The 17,136-nt window shown below is 50.4% G+C and overlaps 1 protein-coding gene across 9 annotated transcripts in view, besides 1 other annotated feature; it reads right to left on the reverse strand.

The window, feature by feature from the left end:
• The window catches only part of DCTN1 (dynactin subunit 1), a 30,712-nt gene that overhangs the window by 7,108 nt on the left and 6,468 nt on the right, over positions 1 to 17,136 (reverse strand). For 2 of the 9 annotated variants that reach the window (NR_033935.2, NM_001190836.2), the window contains exons 2-13: positions 9,738 to 9,983; positions 9,386 to 9,464; positions 9,170 to 9,204; positions 3,275 to 3,466; positions 2,717 to 2,914; positions 2,359 to 2,563; positions 2,204 to 2,282; positions 1,924 to 2,083; positions 1,703 to 1,807; positions 1,038 to 1,229; positions 836 to 952; positions 466 to 618 (exon numbers count right to left, since the gene is read on the reverse strand). Coding sequence is in view for 8 of the 9 variants with exons in the window: in NM_001190836.2 (NP_001177765.1) it covers positions 466 to 618; positions 836 to 952; positions 1,038 to 1,229; positions 1,703 to 1,807; positions 1,924 to 2,083; positions 2,204 to 2,282; positions 2,359 to 2,563; positions 2,717 to 2,914; positions 3,275 to 3,466; positions 9,170 to 9,204; positions 9,386 to 9,464; positions 9,738 to 9,965 (1,743 nt within the window). In the remaining variant the exon portion in view is untranslated. Of the gene's footprint in view, positions 1 to 465; positions 619 to 835; positions 953 to 1,037; positions 1,230 to 1,702; positions 1,808 to 1,923; positions 2,084 to 2,203; positions 2,283 to 2,358; positions 2,564 to 2,716; positions 2,915 to 3,274; positions 3,467 to 4,665; positions 4,687 to 6,060; positions 6,406 to 8,479; positions 8,501 to 9,169; positions 9,205 to 9,385; positions 9,465 to 9,737; positions 9,984 to 11,742; positions 12,050 to 17,136 lie in introns of those variants that run through there. The other 7 variants (NM_001135041.3, NM_023019.4, NM_004082.5 and 4 more) reach the window with 6 other exon arrangements.
• Positions 11,850 to 12,361: an enhancer, noted in NCBI's record as "H3K4me1 hESC enhancer chr2:74607239-74607750 (GRCh37/hg19 assembly coordinates)". NCBI's record gives its function as "activates a minimal SCP1, AML or CMV promoter by ChIP-STARR-seq in naive H9 embryonic stem cells {active_cell/tissue: H9 hESC(naive)}" and the evidence as "EXISTENCE:reporter gene assay evidence [ECO:0000049][PMID:30033119]".

Raw genomic sequence — 17,136 nt, forward strand, 5'->3', positions numbered from 1 at the left:
TTACCTGGGTGGGGAATCTTGCATGGGGAAAGGGTAGTGATGTGATTACTGGAGGTTGTGAGGAGTCAGGATGTGAAAATGAAAGGGTAGTGGGACCGGTGGAATCAAGGTCTTTCCTGACTTAAAGCTGCCACTCCTGCTATCTCTCCACCTAGAATGCTATCCTGCCCATCATCCCCAAGGTTAACCCCTAGGCACCTCCTGGCCCTCAGACAATGTTATTCCCTCAGTCACACCCTGCTCACCTCTAAATCAAATCTCTAATTGTGCTCTCTCACAGAACCTATCTCTCCTTGAAAACACACCATTTGTAATATATATTAATCGGTGACTTTGCTGTGTTCCTCCACTATACCATAAACTCTTTGTGGGCAGAGACTCTGTTGTCTTCACTCAGCATCTTCAATGCCTGGTTCATGGCAAGTTCACTAGATTTCTGTGGAACATGTGATTGATTGGCCATACCTTGCAAATGAGACGAGGCATGAGCAACAGCACCAGAACGCAGTCATGGTCCCCACCTGGCCGAAGGAAGCTGTCAGGCATGAAGGCTGTCAGCAGGGACATGTGTCGATTGGCCTGGGCCACCTCCATCTGCCTCAATTCCATCTCAATTGCCTGTGAGGTGAACAGGGAGGAGGACTCTTAGCCAGAGCTGAAAGAGCCCCAAAATTCCCATGCCTTGCTCCAGTAGATCCCTTGCTTCTAGGGCAAGCCCAGGCCAGAGTCTTCCAAACCACCACACAAAGCACCCCTTCCCCCAGGAATCTGAAGCCCAGACCCCATACCAGTTCATCCCAGGCAGGGCTCCCTCAGACCCACACACTTTCCTGACCTTGGCATGGGCCTTAGTCTCAGCAAACTTGATTTTGAAGTCAAAGGTCTCTGGAGGTGGCTGCTGTTGCCTCTCCACAGATGCTTCCTGCTGGTTTGTCAGTTCCCGATTCACATCCTAGGAGGAGAGACAGTGAAGCACAGCTGGGTCATAAGGAAGCCCTGGGGTGATGGTGGGCAGAGAGCAAACAGTGGGCATGTACCTGTAGATGGGCGGTCAGCTGGCGGTACTTCTTGATGGTCTGCTGGTAGTCTGCAACCGTCTCCTGGGCTGCCTCCACACGCTTCTGGGCCTCACGAACCCGCGCGCCTGCCATGTCCAGCTGCTCCCGCAGCTCCAGTTCTGTCTCACGTGCATTCTCCTGCAGCTCATCGTTCATCTCATTCATCGCTTCCTAGGACACCACACCATAGTTTGGGCTAAAGAAAGGCAGGGTCGGCCAGCGGCGGTGGTTCACACCTGTAATCCCAGCACTTTGGGAGGTCAAAGCAGGCGGATCATGAGGTCGAGATCGAGATCATGCTGGCCAACATGGTGAAACCCCATCTCTACTAAAAATACAAAAATTAGCTGGGTATGGTGGCGCATGCCTGTAGTACCAGCTACTCGGGAGGCTGAGGCAGGAGAATCGCTTGAACCTGGGAGGCGGAGGTTGCAGTGAGCCGAGATTATTGCGCCACTGCGCTCCAGCCTGGCAACAGAGCGAGATTCCATCTCAGAAAAAAAAAAAAAAAAAAAAGGCAGGGTCAGGGTAGCAAGCCCAGGCTGGGTCCCTCACCGCACACCCTGCTCAAAGGCCAAGGGTCACATGTCAATCTTTTTCTCAGCAGGTCCAAGTCAGATGTCAGGGGTCTGCTCTTCTCTTACCAAGTCTCCCACAGTCTCCCTCAACTCGCGCACTTTCTCTTCCAGATTCAGGTTCCGATCTGTCAGCATCTCCACCATCTCCTCAGCACCCAGAGCAGCATCCACCTGTGTTACGGGGAGGATAGGGAGAAGGGCTGCTGGAAGGTACCTAGAAAGAGGAGGCATCAACTGATAGGAGAGTCAGGTGGGGGATTCTGGGTGAGGGGCTGGGCTCCCCAGACCTGCTCCTTGAGCTCATCAATGGTGCTCTCTGCCTGGCTTAGCTCCTCCTGCAGACGCTCCCGCTGTTGCCTCACAACTTCCAGCTCTTGGTTCTTCTTTTCCATGAGCTTCTGGAGCTTCACATGCTCCTGCTTCTCTGAGGAAGAAAGATCCCGCATCCTGCAGGGATGTGAGGAAGGCAGAAGGAGGAAAGCACGTGTCAGAGTCTCTGGCGATGGGTGCTCTAACACATTTGGAGACACAAGAGTAAGCATCAGAGGCAAGCACTGAAGACCCTACCTCACCAGGGCATCCTTCAGGCGGGCATTCTGCTCCTCAAGCTGCTTGAGCTGATAACTGGATGCAGCGCCATCTGAGCCTGGAGAAGATCATTAACACTTTCAGGCATGGTTCTCACCTGACCGTTTGGCCCCCAGCAGCTGTGGGCCCCTTACCCTTCTCTTCAATCTCAGCCTTGAGGATCTCTAAGTCAGTAGTGAGCTCGTCCACCCGCTCCTTCAGTGCCTCCACCTCCTGCTGCAGGGACTCAGCCCGCTCTTCAGCCATCTCCTTGTCCAAAGTGGCCATCTCAATGGCATCAGCAGTATCAGCCATCTCCTCCATATAGCGTTCCTTTGCCTCCAGCGCCTCCTTGGCTTCCTGAGGAAGAAGTGGAGGTGGGAGGGGGTACCAGCACAGAGATGCCCCAGGCCTTTCTCACAGTATGTTCCAGGCTCCAGCTCCAGTCTAGTTTCCAGCATGCTTCCTTAGGTCTCAGGCTGCCCCAGCCACCCCCTTCATCCAGAGTCAAACCTTTCTCGCCTCCTTGAGGCGCCGCTGCAGGTCGGCCTGCTGCTCCTGCATTTTGCTCTTCCATTCCTGCACCTGCTCCAGCTGGATTTTGTGTTTCTCCAGCTCTTTTAGCTTTGCTTTGTCTTCTGCCCGTTTCAGTCTCAGGGTCTCTAGTTTCTCCTCCAGGTCCCGCACCTGAGCCCTTAGTCCCTCCTCCTCCTGCAAAGGAGAGGCCTCACGGTCTGTGCACAGCCCACTCCTCCTCTCCACCAACACTGAGCTGGCGCAAAGAACACAAGAAAGTGTGCAAACATCACCCAGCCCCAGGGTGGCCAACAGTCAGTGGCATAAGAACATCTGAGAGGAAACCGTAGCACAGTATATATGGGGAAAGTATGGCATAAGGGCAAGAAAGGAAAGGATGGCTCAGTCAGTAGCAAGATATCCATAGGCTATGTCCTCACCCTTTCTGATCCAAGTTCTAGGTCTTTGCCAACCCCAGGAAATTTTCAAGACACAGCGGGTAGCCACAAGCCTCTGGGTGTCTTGATTCTCCTTTACCCCTACCCCAGGCCTTACCTTGGATGGGGAAGGAAGCGGGGGGACTGCTCCAGGAGAGGTGAGGACCGGCGTGGGGATGATGGGTGCTGCCAGCGGAGTCTGAGCCGGGGTGCTGGGCTCACTGCTGCTCAGCTCACCTGCTGACGCTGAGCCAGAGGGGCCCAGGGAGCTACTGGCCCCAGCCACCCCAGTACTGGCTGGGCGCGTGGGCTATTCAGAAAGGGTAGAGGCAGACCAGAAAGAAAGCAGAGGATAGGGGTAGTAAGAGGAACAGAAACAGAATATGAGAATATGGCAAGGGAAGGAGACAGAAAAGGGAAAAAGCAGAAAGAGAGTATCAAAGCACAGTGAGAAAAGAAGAATGAAGGGGACAAGGAAAATGATACAGAGAGGCAGAGAGAGATAGTGACAAAGGACAGGGGGAGGATGGAGGCAGAGGAGAGAGGGAGGAAAAGATAAGAGAAAGACATAAGATTATAAGGCTCCTCGCTTGGCACTGACTCCACATTCCTCCTAGCTCTGGCACTACCCTTAAGAGCAGAATCCGTTATTCCCTAGAACCCCCATCTATGACCCACTTGTGATCATTCTAGCAACTCCATTATACTCTCAGTCCCATCCTTGCTCCAGGTCTATGCCCTCCACCCCTAGACGGAAAAAGTACAATCTAATTTCCACAGAAGGTTGGGCCAAAAGTGGGGGTGCCAGGCTCTCTACCCCTGCTAAGCCCTCTTTGGGAGTCAAGCTGAATCTCCCTCTCTCAGTCTATTTCAGAGGACCCTGCAGGTAAAAGGGCCAAGGTGAAAGTTGTACCCCTAGACTCCCCCTTGAAACAACTCTTCGTCATCTCCCCCGATCTGGCAACACTATCCATGCCCCTGTGGGGCAGGGGAGAAGGTGGGCAGAGGAGCTGACCTGAAGTTCAAGCCCTGGAGCAGACAGGCCTGCCAATGTGCTCAAAGTGCTGAGCCCCAAGGTCTCCCAGTGGGCTGACACTCAGAGATCATGTGCAATCCTCAGACATCCCCACCCAAGGCCTGTCACAGACACACTCACCTCCTTATCCCCTGACATTTTACATGGCCAAGTTCATCTTTCTTCCAATCCCTCCCATCAAAACTGGTCAAAATTCCCTTGTTCAAGAAAGCCTGCTTTGATTAACCACCACAACCCCATTCATTTCTCTTTTGCATTCAAGCTACTGGCTTAGACAACCTCCTAAAAGCCAAAAGCCATTTTCCCCAGGAGGTGCCTGCCAGCACTGCGAACCCCCACCCTTTCCTCTGAAGAGAACCCAGGATACACTATGACGAACTTTCACTTGCTCATACACGTGCCCTCATACATCCACATGCCTGAAACGTGTGTGTACACTCAGCAGTGGCTCACACAGGGGCCTGTTTTCTCACCTTGGGTCGCCGAGTTGTGGTCTGGACAGGCAACAGGAGCCAGAAGAGAAGTAGTCAGGAAAGAAAGGACAATGGCAGAAAGACAGAGAGCAAAAGGGACAGCAATGAGAGCAGAAGAAATAACAGGAATGGGGCTACAGTTAGCCACCCTCCCCCCCATCCCATCCCCTTCTCCCTTCAGTGAATCACTGTATTCCTACTTCAGGAACCCAGAATTCCTGTTCCCCTTGGTTCCTGCTCCCACTTTTGTCCAATCCTTGCAGGCCTCACCCCTTCAGACACCCCAGAAATCCCAGAAGTCCATCTCTAGGCTGAGCCATAGAACAAGGAAGCAGCTAGTGAGAAGGTCCCATGAGACCAGTCCTCCTGCTAACGATCTCTCCAACTCCAGTCCAGAGCCAGAGGCCCCGCCCAGCCACCACTCCCAAGGACTTTCCCAGGTCAGCCTCTTCCTTCAAGTGCTAGACTCTACACAGAACTCCCTAGAAACCCCATGTGACGAGCGTAATCTAAGCCCAGAAATGGGAGATCAGGTCCCTAGGGTAGAACAATGCTGCTGTCCTCCCTCCCCCAACCCCCTTCCCCAGAACCAGATCCTGCAGCAGTCCCGATCACTAGGGAAGAGGGCTCAGGTGTCAGGACCATGAATATTGCATTAGCAGAAGCCCAGAGCTCAGCAAAGTAACCCCACCCAGCTGTAGGAAAGGAGGTGGGGGTGGGCAGCAGCACAGAGAAACTACAGCCCCTTCAGGTTACTGCAAAATGGTAAGTGGACAATTAACTCCAATTTCCAAATAGTGTTCTTGCTACCCAGTATCTCACTGCTCTAGCCAAGACAAGATTTGGCTTGGGCCCTATTTCCAGCATACACTGAGGCCAATTCCCACCTCTTCTACCCTGGGCTAAGCTTCCACAGCTGTGGGTCAAAGACTATTCTAGGTTCCCCATCCCACCCTGGTAAAGTGCCCTGATACAAATCCTGGGGATTGGGGGATACTGGGAGAACAACCAAGAGGTATTCTAGCAAAGGTTGGGTGAGGCAGGCAGGCCTGCTAGAGGCACTGAGATACCTGGGCCTGCTTCCCTAGGTTCTACCACAGGAAACCCTCCCAGATCCGGTATGCGGTAGAGGCTGCCTGAAGCCCAAGCCTGTGAGGCCACTGGGTGTTAAGGCCTGGAACACAGGCAGAGCCAAAAGCAGGCAAGGCAGTAAGCAAATGCCCAGGGTGTGGGGCATAGTGGTGACACACACCTCTCCCTAACCCACCTTCGTCCTCACCCGCCTCCCCGACCAGGTAGACAGATGAAGTCAATCAGCCCCCACCCCCACCCCAGCAGCCTGCTGCCACCATTGCCCTGGCAACCCAGCAGCAGGACGAGAGCAAGCAAGAGTACCTTTCGGGCTGTCGGTGCCTGTCTCATCATTGCAGAAAACCAAAGAAAGCAAGGAGAGGAAAGAGGAGGGACAGAGGAGGATAGACAAACACACGGAGGAAGGACAGACGAAGGGAGGGAGGGCAAGAGACCGAACAGAGGGAAAGGCGGCGGAGACAGGAGATTAGTGCATCAAATCCCAACAATGCAGTCTCAGCCTCCCGGTGCGGCAGCTTCCCAGCCTGCAAACGGCCGCCGCTCTGACACAGAGGCCCCCGCAGACGTGCAGCTGGATCGCCAGGCTCCGGCAGGCACCGGAGCGGTGCCTGGCCCAGTTCACCAGCTTAGGCTGATGGCAGCCTCAGTGGCCGCAGCACCAGCTCCACCTGACGTCATGCACCCACCCTCCTCTGCTCCATGGGGGTGGAGCCACTGCTCCTCAGTCACCTAGCAACCATCTAGGGCTTTGCTGGCTCCTCCTCCTCATGACAGTCATGCGCAGAGCTTGTCCTGCTTCTTTCTCCAAAGAACAGGTTTTGGCTCCTCTCTTCCCTCCCTTGCCCACCCCCAAGAGCGTGCTCCAAAAAACTGGGCCAGGGGCTATCCCAGAAATGGCATTCTATGGGGCCAGGGCATCACTGGGGAGGGACACATGGCCTCTCTGCTCCAGCAGTCTCTCTCATCATACTCACATTCTGCCCCCGCCACCCACCTACCCACAGCCCCATTAACTCCACTTCTGTCTCTTATACAACCTGGCAACACCCTTACAGTCTCTCATCTGGCACACACATCTAGAGTGCCCCTCCAGCAACAGGCTTCAGCTCTGAGGAGCACACACAGTGACTACGAAACCCTGCGGAACACGCATCTGGGTAGCAGCAGCTCTAATGACTGTTGGGCTCCTCTCCAACCATCCCCTGGTTGTAGACAGGTTAAAGCCTGTCTCTAAAGGGTTTCCAAAAAGAACTAGGCACTTTGCAGAGACATCTGAGTTTTCTTCTGCCTTCCCCTTCAAAGCATATTCTTTTGCTCTGGAACCAGCTCCCTGATCCACATGGGTGAGAGCAGGGGCCCTCTGCTTTGAAAAATAACTACTGGAGAGGAAGACTGGGGTGCTCCGGGGTGGGGGCACTCAACTGTCTGATTGACACTTTCCAACGTGAGTGCAGAAGGGCAGCATGGGTGGCCTAGGCTGGGCTTTTTCACATTTCCCCAGGCAGCTGCCAAAGCCCCTGGATTTGGGCATTGCTCAGGCCCCAGCCCAGGGTCAGACCAGGCTGGGGCCAGAACTCCATAAATATCAGACCATAGTTTCATGCTCTTCTCTATTCAAGGCCTGAGGTGAAATGGAAGCCCCAACCAGGAGACAATAATCAAAGGACAAAGCCAAGTTTCTATGACTCTGAAATGGGCCCAGGATCCTTCACAGCATTATTTTCCTTATATCCCCATTCCCTACCAAAGCAAGTACCAGCATGTGGTCTCTACCATGGCAAGACTCCAAAGGACCCATCACCAACCAGGAGCTGGTTTCCCCCTGGAAAAGGAGATGTTTTCCTCTTCCCTCCCACAGCCCCAATCCAGCAGCTCTCCATGCAATGTCAGAATGGCCTGAGATAGGCTGACGACAAGGAAATCACAGAATTGTACATACAGCACAGTACATACAGGCCAGACAGGCACATGCAGGTCAAAAACAGCTTGGGCAGAGGCCCAAGGCAGGGGCTGGTTTGAGGAAGTGGTCATGGCAGTGATCTAAGAGTTTAAAGAGTCTATGGTGGGAAGGGGAGGGGACGTGACATGATTGAGCCCCACTCCAATGATGGTTGATGAAAGGCTGCAAGGGGTAGGAGGTAGGCCTCAGGCACACCACCAGAGGAAGGAGACAGGGACAGACTGATGGGGCAGAGTTGTGGGGTGTGGGGATATTTATGGCTGTGCCCATCCACAGGCAGGCACATGAAGGCTCTTAGGTTTTCCAACTTGGGACTGTTCTTCCTAGGCTCTGTTCCCTGACCTCCCATCTTCCTGCAAAACCCCCTCACTTGGTACCTTCCTCAGCCCCATTCCCCCAGTCTATCCTTCCACAGTCGTCCAAGCTCGGGCTAAGTGAGAACACACTGTAACCCAGTAAATGATCTATTTCACACTGCTGCTATTTACAGTCAAATGCTTATAGTTTTTGATTGGGGAATCTTTGACTTGGAGTCCTGGGGCAGAGAGAATCATCCCTAATGAGTGCTACCTGGGTATGGACACTGAGCCTGATGTTCTTGCACCCTTCAAAGGAACTCTGAAAGCCAAGGCCACCATTTCCTCTGGCCATCCCAGCCCAAGGTCACACACACATGCATGCAGCAGCCCAGGGACATGCAGGACAGCTGGGGAAGGGGCTCATGGCCCCCATCCACCCAGGCACAAATAGTAAACACACCACCTTCTTAGGCTTCAGTCCCCGCTGCATGAGGAGTAGGAAAGGGCAGAGTTAGAGAACAGATGTCCTGGGCATAGGTGTTAAGACCAACTCGGGCTTACACAGGTTAGACGCGGGTAGGGGGGAGTCAGGGTGAGATGAGTAGCCCCTCAAAGATCAGCTTCCAGGATGTTCACACCTTGGCCCAGAGAAGCTGCAGAGTCTGCAGCCCCACCTCACACACATCCTGCACAGAGTAGCAGAGAAGAACTAGGAAGCACTCTCTGCATCCAGCTTAAAACAGGAGGCAGAGGGCCCGGCTCCTTGCCATTCACTTGTGAATAGGAGATTGCTTCTTCCTCTATCTTCTACCTTAACCTTACCCTCAGACCCTTTAGATGTTGGCATCTTTGGGTACCAAAAGGTAGGAAGTTGGCTACACTACTAGGGCCAGACCTGTCCTTCCTATCACCCTCAGCTCAATCTCATTTGACCCTGAACTTCTGGAGCCTATGAGTTTTTCCCTTCTACCATCTTTACTGTAACTCTAACACAGCAATTAATCCCCAGAAAGCCTCCTTCTTAGGGAAGTTGGAGAGACTAGAAGGCAAATCAGACTCACCTACTACTTCTACCTGCCTAGCACTGGGTATCCCTCCTCTTTCTCCTTCCCCTCCCTTTATTATTCCCCATTCCCACCCCCAAATCACTCACCAGTTTGCTAGTCTTTGCAGTTGTATCAGTTCCCTCTGTAGAAAGCAAACAGAAACAAAGTGTGTACTTGTATAGAGAGGTAGGGGGAGATATAATAAGGGAATATGGTAGTGACGGAAAAAAATCTTAGGATCTACTGTGGCCCCATGTTATGAGGAGAAGTCCTGGGGACTCCTCCTGGCTATGGGGAGGCAACTTTAAGTGGGTGGTTGTTACCTCTTTTGAGGACTTTTGAAGCAGAAGAATCAGGTGTCTCTGGGGAAGTAGTATCTGCTCCATCTTCAAATACCTGGATCTGAGGCCAGATTCAATATAGCCAGATCAATAGTTTCAATATAGCCAGATCAAGGACGGCTGTAATATGGGCCCCTCCCCAGGCTCCAAGCAAACCAAGAGTACAGGGCAGCTTCCCTAAGGATGCATCTTCAATCTTCCCTCCCCCACTACCTTCCACTCTCCCAACCAGAGGCTTATGCCCATGCTCAGGAAAACGAAGTACCAACACATCAGCTGCACATGCGACAGACATGTGCACACATGCACAGACACAAAAGAAGGGCGTGAATACCTGGGACTGGCGCACAAAGATGCCATGCCCTTCATCACAAGTGAAGTACTTCCTGCCTTGAACAGTTCCATCATTTTTGCCCTTTGCTTCATCCAGAATCACGCCTACCCATTTGCCAGTGGCAAACAGTGTGGCTCCAACATAGGCCACAGTGCCTCGGTGGCCTTTTCCAATCACCTCTACACGGGAGCCCACCCGCAGAGGCCGGGCGCTTGCCTCCGCACTCATCCTGCTGCCGCTGGGCGTCTGAAAGACACAGGTAAACACAGACAGTTAGAGGCCTCAGATCAAAGGTGGCATTCTTATGTATAAGAAATGCCTCAGCCAAGATGCTGGACTGAAAAACAACCAGAGTCATTTTCTTAAACCCCATTTACAGAATTGGGTGGACCCCCAAATTCCCCTTTGAAAAAATGCCAATGATATTCTAAGATTTCTCCAAATTCCTCTGGAATCTGCTAGAATTTTTAAGTTTATATTTTTTATAACAAATCAGAATTCATTGACCAGTCTGTGAATGTCACCACATGGCTGCTTTCTCAGGAGCACTGTCTCCTTAATTCTCTTCTCAGGAGGGGAAATAAGATCAAGCAAATAACTCAGTTTAGACCAGGCTCCCCACAACCCAATGCCCTGACTCAGGAGTCTGAGCTGGGAAGACAGGCAATTCAGTGGGTGATCCTACAGAATCCTGTTTCCCCTTCCACTGTCACTTGTCTCCTCTGTGTTTCAAATGGTTTTCTTAGGCCTCACCCTTTCAGAGGCACACAATTGTGCCTCCTTCCAGACCCTTAAGTCACCACCTCTCCTTCCTGATCTGACTCCTCCCACCCCCATCCACAAACCCACCATGAAACCCCAGATGCTTCACCACAGCCCATTCAACCATTCAACTCCCCTTCTACCTGGCCTGAGTCTTGTTTGGTCAACTCTCTATCCCCAAGCTCTGGAGATTCTTCTCCATGCTATGTTGCTATAAAAAGGAAAACACAGGCCAAGTAAATTGGGTGGATCTACCCCTCGCTCTGTCCCCAAGACTCTGCTCAGTGGTCCAAATGAATGGTTTATCACTCCACAGATGGGCAAGGCAAAACAACAGACTAAGACACTGTCCTTGGGCAGCTCTTAGCTTCGGCACACCCATGATGACTGAACACAATAGAAAATTAGGTCCCAAATAGGCCCATGGTTTAGAAGAAAATCACACTTAGGTCATTTTTAGCAACAGCAACTCCATGAACCAGGGGCCTTGCAGCAAACAGATGAATGAGGCATGATGAAGTGATACCATCATCCTAAAGACTCTATGGGAGACCCTTCTGATACTCTCATTTATAATAGCTTCAGAAGGGAGCCCTGGCAGAGCCAGGGAAGAGCCAGGACACCTCCCAGCCTATCACTGCCTAATTCCCTTCCCCAAACAGCTCATCCAGGAAGGTGAGGATGTAGTTCCCAGAGGCTCCAGGACCCCAAATCACACCTGGAACAGCAGGATGGCTCTCATGGACCTGACAATAAAAGGAATTGCCAGTGATATAAAAGGCTGAACCCAAAGTCAGAGACTCCCCCACTTTCCAACCCCAATAAGCCTCTCAGAACCAGGGGGCCACAACAGTAGCTACAGATTCTATCTCAGAAGAGAAAGAAAGCAAGTAACAAATAACAAAGCAGCTCTTAAGAAAGGCTTCACTGTAAGACCTCTCTGAGCCATCATCCCCATTCTGAGTCCCCAGGATAGTCTGGACCCCCTCAGGAGCCCCTGGTATGAGGGCCAATTAGAGTCAGAGGTCAGGCCTTGCTAGTCCCCATTTAGGGATCAACTCTGTAAAGGGAAGCCTGTCCAGCCTTACACCACCAGGGCTTCGAGGGCTCCTTAGAAAACACAGTCTGAGTGCCCTCAGCTGAGCTCCAGCCTATCTCCCCAGCCCCCACAGCAATGATGTCCACAGGCAGCCAGGCCTTCCCCAGCAGCCCTCCAGGGCCATCCCAGATTAGGGCCACTTACCCGGCTGTACACGTGCCTCTTGCTCTGTGCCATGTTGCTCACCCGGCCTCTACCCCCTCCCCCAGCTGGCCAAAGACAGAGAGAAAAGGTAGAAACCTAGGCAGGAGGGTCAGGGCGCTGGGCCCTCATAGAGGGACACAGGAGTCGTCAGGCACAGCCCTCCCCAGTCCATGGGCCTCACTCGGTGGCCTACACGGGTAGGGGTGGGGGCAGTGATGGGGGCTGAGGAGCAAGTCCCCTCTGCTGCCTGAGGATTCCTGAACCCAGAGACACAGAATCCTGCTTGCCAGCTGATGAGTCTCACTCTGCGCTAGTGCTGCTCTAGACTTGTCAGGAACCGTGCTAGCCTCTGGGTCCTAGTGCCCCCCTGCTTCACGTGGGCCAGAAACTAAGGGCTGGGCATACGCCACAGACCCTCAGCACTCAACTCTTGAATACACTGTCCTAGGGCTGGAAGCAGTCTTGACACGTCCTCCTAGTCTGTACCCACTCACCATCACTGTTCCCCTCTCCCCCAGGATGTAAGGCCTCAGCAGGCCCATAAGCATCAAGTGACACTTCAAAGCGATCAGCTGCCTAGAGCCTCCACACAGCCAAAATAAGGGTCTCTCATCTACCTTTCTGGTGCTCTTCTCTCTCCCTCCCCTCTCTAAACTCTGGACTCAGGGTCCAAATTCATGTGAGTAGGGCCTGGATTTCAATCTCACACTGAGCCAGAGGAGGCAGGCCCTGCCCAGGAGGCAGCAAGAGAAGGGCAGTAATGAAGGCAACTTCACACACATAGCAAAGCAAGCCAAGTACCCTAGCCCCCTCCCACAAGGCTGGCAAAGGTTGCCATAGTCACCCTTCACCCTTTATGGTTGTTATAAGGGGCCAGGTTGTAAAACACAAGAGTATCAGACTCAACTGGATTACTAAAGGCAGTAGTCAAAAGCAGAGAGCCCTTCTTTCTTCTTGTAGCACAAGGCCCAGTCCACCTCAGTCATCTGCCCCTTGTACTCTTGGCCTTGCCTCCTAGCATCTCAGACCCAATGAAATGGTTTATTTTCTACGCTTTTGTATTTCACAAAAATTCTTCAGTAACCATGTATTACTTTTATAATTAGAATTGTTTAATTTAATGAGATTATGCATTCTAATGAGAGGTCTCCAAGGGACTATGTTACCACACTGCTTTCATTCACTGGCCCATCTATCATGGGCTAGAAACCAAAAGACCAGGGTCCCTGCCCCTACACAGCCAACAAGGTTGGCCTGGGGTCTGACCTATGGCTCCACTGAGTATGGTATGGATCTAGTTCCCTTGGGCCTAGGGACGCCTGTCTTTTCTGCACTGGGCTTACTTCACTGGCAGAACAGTGACTTTACCCCGCTCTACCCTCTTAAGATAGGCCAGGTAGCCCAACAGGAGAATGACAGCCAACATTCAGAAATATGGCCCCAAAACACAATTCCAAATCTTCAGTCCTGGCCAGACCCCCTAGGAAATAATCTCTCTCCTCCCTGCAAAATCTCCATGTCGCCCCCTCCTTTCCCTATTCGCCATTACACAGGTGGGCAGGGCCAGGCACATCCTTGCAGCCTGGACCTCACATGTTCGGAGCACTTTACAGTCTATAGGACACCTTAAAAAAAGACATTTTATAGAACCATGGTTGAGTACTGGTTCTAGACTCAGGCTACTTTCCTGGCTTTATCACTTGGTAGCTACATAAACTTGGTCTAGTTACTTAACATCTCTATGCCTCAATTTCCTCATCCGTCATAGGGAAGTAACAAAGAACATATCTCAGAGAGGTATCGTGAGGATTAGCTGAGATAATCCAAACAAAGCATCCAGGACACCGCCTGGTATTTAATAAGTGCTAAATAAAAGTTAGCTAAGAACAATGTCATCATATATAGACATTACAATAACCCCATTGAGAGGTTGGCCAGGGATGATGCTGACAAGGCAACTGAGTCTTTGAGAACTGAGCAACTTCCCTGAAGACACACAGACTGTGAGGAGTAGAGCCAAAACTGGAAACAACCTGACCCAGAGCCCTCTGTGCTTTCTACTACCCCTCACCATTACCACAGACATATCTAGGCTTCCAAGGCCCTGCTCTTCCTGTAGGCCACACTGCCTTAAAAAATTCAAAAGAGCTCAGATCTAAAAATAGCCTCACAACTCACTAACCACATAGGTATCAATAGTCCCCTAATTTCTTGGAATCTGTTTATTTTCCTATGAAATGAAAATAATATCTGCCATATCTACGTCAGTATCATGAGGTTCAAAAAAGCTAAAGCATATACAGGTACCTTGTAGGCCAGGTGTGGTGGCTCATGCCTGTAATCCCAACACTTTGAGAGGCTGAGGCCGGTGGCTCACTTGAGACCAGGAGTTCAAGACCAGCCTGGCTGACATGGTGAAACCCTATCTCTACTAAAAATACAAAAATGAGCTGGGTGTGGTGGCGCATACCTATAATCCTAGCTACTTGAGAGACTATAGGCATGAGAATCGCTTGAAGCCGGGAGGTGAAGGTTGCAGTGAGCCAAGGTCGCACCACTGCACTCCAGCCAGGGCGACAGACTGAGACTCAAAAAAAAAAAAAAAAAAGCACCTTGTAAAAAGTACAGAAATTATAGAACTGCAAAGAATTACCTGACATGATACTAAATGGTATATACATCTACACAATAAATATAAGAAATTATAGACAGGAGAGAGGTGAGCTAGAAAGAAAGGGAGTACCTAAGCATGCCTTGAATTATGGGAATTTTAAAAAATATGTGGAGGCCGGGCGCGGTGGCTCACGCCTGTAATCCCAGCACTTTGGGAGGCCGAGGCGGGTGGATCATGAGGTCAGGAGATCGAGACCATCCTGGCTAACAAGGTGAAACCCTGTCTCTACTAAAAATACAAAAAAAAATTAGCCGGGCGCGGTGGCGGGCGCCTGTAGTCCCAGCTACTCGGGAGGCTGAGGCAGGAGAATGGCGTGAACCCGGGAAGCGGAGCTTGCAGTGAGCCGAGATTGCGCCACTGCAGTCCGCAGTCCCGCCTGGGCGACAGAGCGAGACTCCGTCTCAAAAAAAAAAAAATAAATAAATAAAATAAAAATAAAAAATATGTGGAAAGGCCTACAAAGCCCTGTAACTTGTGAACACAGTATGAACAGAGGCAGAAATAACTTTGCTTGACTAGCGAATAGTAAAGAACCCTAGCTTAGCTGAAGTAACGAATTGTAGATGGTTATTCTATCAAACTATAAGCCTTTTGAAGCATAGCCCACACCTTTTCCTCTTTATGATCCAATAGCCAGTAAGTAGCTCATGGTCAAATATTTATTGAATAAACATTTATTGAATAACATTGCAACATACTGGGAGGTAACTGTGGGTAGGCACGGAGTTTAACATCAGGCAGACAGAGAAGGACTTGATCCAATAATAACAGGAAGGCAGTCTTGTTCCTGAGCAGGAGACTGCATAGTGAAAACTATTTTAGGAAGATCAAACTGATGACACCTGCAGGATGGAGTGCAGGCAGGAGCAACCTGGCAAAGACAGGAATAACAGCAAGGAGGCTGCTGCAACATTTGACACAGGGTAAGGAAGGTTTGAACCAGGATCAGGAGGAGAAGAAAGAGGCCAGTTCAGAGACAGTACCAAAAAAGCCCTGAGAAGGCCTTGTAATAGATCAAACATGAGGAAAGAGGCAGCAGGCCTACATGGGCTCTGGAGACAGACCTGAATATACCTTTGGTTCTCCTCTGAGCAAGATATTTAACTTCCTGAGTCCCGGTTACCTCAACTGCAAAAAGGAAGAAATAATGTTACCTCACAGGGACATTTTGAAGATTAAATAAGATTTAAGTAAAGCGTTTAGCACAATGTCTGTGTGCTCAACAAATGGTAGATATCATCTTCATTCATTATTTTAAGGGAATATCCACGATGACTTGCGCACAGTAGGAACTCAAATGCTGCAAGGATAAATAGATGGGTCAATGAATGCATGAATAAGTAAATGAATAAATACACTCAGGAGTTTTCAAGCATGAGAAATGTAATAATTGAAACATTAACAGAACTGAAAAAAATGGGAGGAGAAACAACATGTTAGGAGAGAGAAAATGCGTCCTGTTCTTAGGGCCTTCTCTGGGGAAAACTTAATTGCATACACGAATACATGTACTTCACTATCTCCTTCAAAAATGAACCTGTGATGTAGCCAAAACAGATTCCATTCTCTCCATTCCACAGATGACAGAACTATGTCTCAGAAGTCAAATGACTTGCCCAAGTCTCATAGCCAAAAAATGGCAGAGGGGCACATCTGAATATCTCTACAGGTAGGTGCTCCTTCCACAGCATTACCGGGCCCAGGCCCATATCCCATAGGACAATCCTGGGTTAATGTTACCCCAGCCAGGGAGGAGACAGACACCTCTTGGATTTCTAATCCATTTTCCTCTCCAATGATATTAAATACCACTAAAATATCTAGAAAAATGAGAAGAGAGGAGGGGAAAAATCTCTGTGTCTGATAAATAATAATCTCTGTGTCTGCCAATAGTCTTAGAGAAATTTCAGGAAATTATAGGAAAATAAGATTTTGGAGAATGAAAAAGGAGAAAGTGAGGAGGAAAAGCCTCTTTTCCACCTCTACCATTTCTCCCCTGTCTGAACCATTTCTACCTTGTTTTTACTGGCACCCCAGCATCCTTTGATACCTTGATCTCCTCTTGTCTCACCTTATCAAACCTTGATCCTGGGCTAACCCAACTGTCTGCTTTCCCTGCTTTCCCACTCCTAGAGGAGCTTGTCTGAAACCCAGGCAGTCTGACAGCAAGGCAAAACTATACATCTCTGAAAGCACTAGTAAGGAAGAGATAAACGTGGACCTAAGTCCTTCAGGAGTCAGAAAGGAAAAGGTCTGCTTACTGAGTGGTAAATGGAGGCTGGGAGACTGGAAGCTTGGAAAGCTGGATTCCAGATATTCACAGGACCCCAGAAGACAACGTACACAGAGCTTTTTGTTCCTAGGTCCTACTCAGTATCTGCCTTGCGGATTTCATAGATAAGGCCTACACACTCAACGGACTTCCTTCCCTTCTCCAGCTCCTCATTACCCTAAAAAAACGTCTACAAACCCACTCCCACTCTGAATGCAGCTCTACTCCATCTCAAAATGTCCCCTTTCCCCAGAAATATCCAGTGACTTCCAGGCCCACCTCCAAGGGCCCAGACCTCTAAAAGTCAAGAAGAAAAGCTATGCTATATGCTTCACTTATCTTCAATATAGGAACTTCTGCAAGAAGGCAAGAGGCACTCAGCCCTGCACTCAAGAACCTCAATCCTCTCAGTGGTATCAGAAGTCCTACTTAGGCTGTTCGAAGTTCC

The sequence above is a fragment of the Homo sapiens genome, chromosome 2 (assembly GCF_000001405.40).
Source record: "Homo sapiens chromosome 2, GRCh38.p14 Primary Assembly".
Lineage (NCBI taxonomy): Eukaryota > Metazoa > Chordata > Mammalia > Primates > Hominidae > Homo > Homo sapiens.